The sequence below is a fragment of the Homo sapiens genome, chromosome 3, assembly GCF_000001405.40.
Source record: "Homo sapiens chromosome 3, GRCh38.p14 Primary Assembly".
Classification (NCBI taxonomy): Eukaryota; Metazoa; Chordata; class Mammalia; order Primates; family Hominidae; genus Homo; species Homo sapiens.
In genome coordinates this window covers 40324948-40330947 of record NC_000003.12, presented here as the reverse complement: position 1 = coordinate 40330947, position 6000 = coordinate 40324948, and positions in this window count along the sequence as shown.

Sequence of the window (6000 nt, the reverse complement as noted above, 5' to 3'; positions counted from 1 at the left end):
TAATGTCACTCCCAGCCACCCAATTTCCAAAGATAAAATCCTGGAAGTCATCTTTTCCTTGCCACTTATGGCCAACACAACAGCAAGTCCTGTTAATTCTATCTCCAAGCGAGTCTCTTGTCCACCCACTTCTCTGCCTCTTTACCACCATCATTCCACGTGTAGTAGCCTCTCATTGGCCTTTTCGCCTCTGCTCTTGCTTTCTGTACGTTCCTCTCTCTGACTAACAGCCATAATCAGCTTCTTAGAATAAATCCAATTGTTCTGCTCCCATGCTTGGAACTCATCAATGCCCTCAGATAGCATTCATGCATCTTGCCATGGTCTGTGAGGCCCTGTCTAATTGGCTTGCTTCTCAGCTTCACTCCTCTCATGCCAACCTATGTCCCCATCCTGTGCTCCAATCACTCAGGTCCACTGCTTTCTCACGGGAAGACTTTGCGTTTGCCAAGCCCTCCTTCTGAAGCTTGCCACCTCCCACTCTTTGCCTGCCTAAATCCTTTTCAGTTCTCATTGATTTAACCATTCTCCTGTTGTTTCAAAATTTTCAGTGTTATAAACAATAGTGCATTGAACATCTGAATGCATTCAATTTTGTCCCACGGCTTGATTGTTTACTTGTCATAAATTCCCAGAAGTGAATTGCTAGAGGGAAGGGAATTCTTATGTTAAATTTTGGTGTGCACAACATTGTAATGTCTTCGTGATCCTGCTGATTTTCCTCCCTATATTCATCCTCCCAGGAGAAGCAGACCCCAGATGAGGGTTTCAGTGCATGTGGTTTCCCCTGTTGCCAAGCAGGAAGCCCCACTCCCTGCCTTCCAGGAGTGCAGATACCCCTTGGATGGAAGCCTGGAGGCCCCTCCAGGCCTGCCTGCAGCCCTCTGAGTCAAGGGCTTTGTAGGGGTCTGTTTGGTGACTGGTCTTCCCCACTTTCTCCTACTTCCATCTTTCACTAGAGTGTTGGAGCTGTCTTTCTAGGCTGCCTTTGGCCCCATCCTTATGATAGATAACAGAAAAATGCTGCTGTTTCAGACAGATACAGGGTACCTTTTTCTAGTTTCCAGAATGAAGGCAGGTTTTTCCATATTTTTATATTCTGTAGGCTAGTGTTTCAAACATGCCTGATCTCACGAATCCTTCTGAGCACTTGTTAGAAATGTAAGCCCCTCTCCTCCACAGAGATTCGAGTTCAGGATCTGGGAGATGACAGGTCTTAAGAGTTTGTGTTTTTCACAGTGTCCTGGTAATTTTAATGATCAAGGAAGTTTAGAAAATGATTCCATAGGTCATTTCCATGAGGCACTAGAAGTAGCTCCAGGTGTTCAACTCCAGTATTCACATTGCCATTTTATGCGTAAGTCTCACATTTCCTAAAAAGCATAACCAAGCACTTTCTATGGCAAGGCATTGAATTTGATGCCATACACATCATCTCATTTTGTGCCGAGAATAGTCATTCTGATCCGAGGCACAATTATCCTTAAGTTGCTGCTGAGAAAACTGAGGCTGTGAGAGACTGGCTGGCTTTGGCTTGATCAGGCCATAAAGCTGGAAAGTGGTAGAGCCCGAATCTGAATCCAGGGCTTCTGATTCTGAGTCCTGGCATGGCAGGCCAGGTCTCACTAACAGCTGAACAGGCAAGCCTCCATGACAACTGTTGCGGCACTGACTGAGTGGTTAGGTTAAATATTAAAAGCTAATAGAGCCAGTCTCCTTATGCAAAGGCTGGAATGTAACAAAGCCCACCAAGAGTTTTGCCTAGGCCTTTCCTGGGCCTTGAAGCCTGACACGATAACGAAGGAATTCTTAACAGGACCCATGTAGGATTAAACAAGTTTTATTGGGGGTCTGAAGAAACTCCCCAGACCTCCACAAACAAGTTTTACTGGGCAGGGGGGTGGGGAGGATGGTCTAAAGGAACTCCTCAAACCTCCATGATTTAGCAGGAGACGAGATAAGGGTAATCACTCCGGCACCTGGAGCCATCTAGATTAAGTAAATTTACTGAGGCTCCAGAGAAAGGTCTTCAAAACTCAGACCTTAGTTATATTAGGAGAAGTTAACCACTTATGTCTTTAGATGAATGCACTTACACATAGACATATAGCTTAGAAGGTATATAAACAATGGAAAGCTTTGTAATTTTAAGTTGGTCTGCCTACCCGGTTACAGAAATAAATTCTCTTCTCTCCCAGTTCATCTGCATCTCATTACTGGGCCTTGAGAATAAGCAGCCCGACCCTGGGTTTGATCCGGTAACACTGGGGCATCTCTGAATCAACCACATTGATGCCTGTCATTATGCCACTCTGCACTGCCACGAACCTCTACTCCTCAGAATGTGGCCTGCAAACCCAGATGGCCGGTATCCCCTGGGAGCTTGTTAAAAATGCAGAGCCTTGGGCCACTCCAGGCCTCCTGAGTTGGAATCTGCATTTTAATAAACTTGCCTGGTGACTCTCATTCATATTAAAGAATAAGAAGCCCTCAGGAGGCTGCAGAGGGATTGGAGATCAGGTCACTTGAGAGAGAGAAGGGGAATGAGTGTGTGTGTGGGGGGGGGGCGGGTGTGTGTGTGTGTGTGTGTATACTTGTGAACACAGGCCAGGCATATGTGTAGTTTGGAAAGGTCTAACAGCTCAGAGGCACCATGTCTTCCCTCAGATAACATCACTTCCACATCCTGTTTGTTGGAAAATTGTTCCCAACTAAAGGCTAAGATTTTTAACTCTTGAAATTGAGTTATGTGCGGACTGCTCATTTGTGATCCAAAACGTCAGCTGAGAGACTGCACCAAGAGAAACCTCTCCAGGGAATGGCTGAGTAGCTTTCGCAAACATAGGGACACAGGAAAGCAAGTGCTTCTTCCTTCTGGGAGGTTTCTAGACTTCTGGAATGAGAGGTCCCCTGAGGGTGCATTGCCAGACATTTCTCTGCATCTTTAAAACCAGAGTTTTTATTTGTTATGTTTTTTTCTTGAGTGCCTAGAGGATCTAAGAGTTTAGCCAGTATCATATAACCTCTCAACTCTTCTGATGTTGGACCTTTTCTCTGAAACAAACTCAAAGACAAGCAAGCAAATTAGATGACTACAGCATACAAAACATAAAGGCTGGACCTAAATGGGTCAATAGCACCATCTCTTGGCCATGTGTGAGTACTGCATCTACCAGTTTTCAACTAGTGAAAGTACAAAACACACCTGTGGATTTGCGGTTAACTAAAGCAGAGTAAAAATATCCCTGCCACACTGTGAGGCATAGAAACACCCAAGATAATGAGAAAGTGGAAAGTTAATGCTGTCTTCAAGGAAATCAGTTAACACCTAATTATATCCACATGTAATATTTGAATTAGTTTTGCCACAAGTAGTGAAAACGAACAAGGTTGAGGAGGATGCCAACAGCACTGCGTATTTCTGAAGGCTTTGAGCAGGGCGATAGACCACAGAGCTCCCCAAGGAGTGGAGGACACCTTATTAAACAGGCATTAGAAAATGGTTGTATGTAGGCCGGACGCGGTGGCTCACGCCTGTAATCCCAGCACTTTGGGAGGCCGAGGCGGGCGGATCATGAGGTCAGGAGATCGAGACCGTCCTGGCTAACACGGTGAAACCCTGTCTCTACTAAAAATACAAAAAATTAGCCGGGCGTGGTGGCGGGCGCCTGTAGTCCCAGCTACTCGGGAAGCAGAGGCAGGAAAATGGCGTGAACCCGGCAGGCGGAGCTTGCAGTGAGCTGAGATCGCTCCACTGCACTCCAGCCTGAGCGACAGAGCGGGACTCCGTCTAAAAAAAAAGAAAGAAAGAAAGAAAAGAAAATGTTTGCACGTGAATGTTAACAAAAATACTAAATATCAAAATCTGCAGGCTGCGCAAGGGAAATTTACATCCTTACGTGCTTACATTCGAAAAGAAGTTAAAAGTTAATGGGCTAAGCAACTAAATTGAGAAGTTACAAAAAGAATATGCAAAGAAAGTAGGAGGAAGAAAACTCATAAGGGAAGAAACTAATAAAACAGAAAATAAGCATGTAATAGGAAGAATCACTAAAGCTAGAGGTTGGTTTTTTGAAAAGATGAAAGAATAAAAACTGATAAGCCTCTGGCAACACTGATCAAGAAAAAAAAAAAGAGAAAAGTTGCCAAAAAAAAAAAAATGGAGCTATAACTACAAAGGGTTAGTCCCAGGGTTCCACAGCTCTGCTTGTAAAAAGACGATTGAAATTCCACATTAGATCTCACCCTTTCACATTTTCATATCCTTTCCTCTTTGATTTCCATAAAGATAGCATGACCAATGTTTTCTCCCTTGATATGTAATAATGAAAAGCTAACATTTGTTAAATGCATATTATGTGCAAAGCACTATGCAATAAAATCCCCACAATGAGTCCCTGAGGCTATCATCATCATCTCCACTTTATAGGTATGGAAACAGAGGCTTGGGAGATATATCTCCACTTTATATATATGGAAATGGAGGTATCTCTCAGTTTGTTAGAAATCAACAAACTGAGGCTTTTTGATTTCTAATATGGCACAGCTAGAAATCAACAGCACCAGGATTTTGACTGGGCAGTCAGGGCTTAGAGCGTCTCCTGGTCACAGGAGCTGACAGCAGAGCCAGGACAGAATCTAGGCCTTTTAGCAAAAAGTCCTCATGACACCAACACTGCCTGTGTCAAAAAGGCAATTCTGAATGATGTTTTATTTTTTTCTCTCCCTCTCTAAATTGAACAAGGATGTGTGTTGCAACTCTGGAATCCATGGAGGCAATTTCGGTCCTCGGACACAGGTACTAACATGGCCCTGACCACCTGGGGAAAATATCCAAGGACCTTAAGGCCAAGTGGCCTCTAACTCAGGTCTCTCTCTGGCATGCTTTGGAAATGTCTCTCTAAATAGGCTTTTATCCACTGTTACTGGGCTAACCTACTTTTAGGGGCTTCAGGTTAAAACCTGAGGCCAACTGTGGTGCTGCAAATACTATTTTAATTGGAATGAGCTGCTTAATCAAAAGTTCTTGGTTCAGTGTGTGGTTCCTTCAAGTGCCATGATTCCTGTGTCACATTAAATCCAGGGTCAGAAAACTGTGGATCTCAGACTAAATTCTGTCCTACCTATTGTTTTCATGTGGTCCAAAAAGTATAGTTAACTATAGTTAAGAAAGGAATTATCCCCCATTTAAAAATGGTTAGTGAAAAAAAATCAAAAGGTGAATAGTATTTTGTGACATCTGAAAATTATATAAAATTGCAATTTTAGTGTCTATAAATAAAGTTTTATTGGAACACAGCCACATTCATTCATTTATATACTCTATGGCAGTTTCTTGCTTCAATGGCAGAGTTGAGTATTTGCAGCAGAGATCATACAACCTGTGAGCCTAAAATATTTACTATTAATATTTACAGAAAAAGTTTGTGTTAAAGTATCATTACAGAACTTTATTTTATTTTATTTTTTCCTATTCAACTTTTATTTTGGATTCAGGGGGTACAAGTGCAGGTTTGTGACCTGGGTATACTGTGTGATGCTGAAGTTTGGGGTACAAATAATTCTGTCACTCAGGTGCTGAGCACAGTACCCAACAGTTAGTTTTTTGACCCTTGCCCTTCTCCCTTCCTCCCTACTCTAGTAGTCCCCAGTGTCTATTGCTGCCATCGTTATGCCATGAGTACCTGATGTTTAGCTCCCACTTATAAGTGAGAACATGTGGTATTTGGTTTTCTGTTCCTGCTTTAATTTTCTTAGGATAATGGCCTCCAGCTGCATCCATGTTGTTGCAAAGGACATGATTTCATTCTTTTATATGGCTCCATAGTATTCCATGGTGTATATATGCCACATTTTCTTTATCCAATCCACTGTTGATGGGCACCTAGGTTGATTCCATGACTTTGCTATTGTGAATAGTGCTGCAGTGAACATGTGAGTGTATGTGTCTTTTCGGTAGAATGATTTGCTTGCTTTTGAATGAACATACAGTAATGGGAT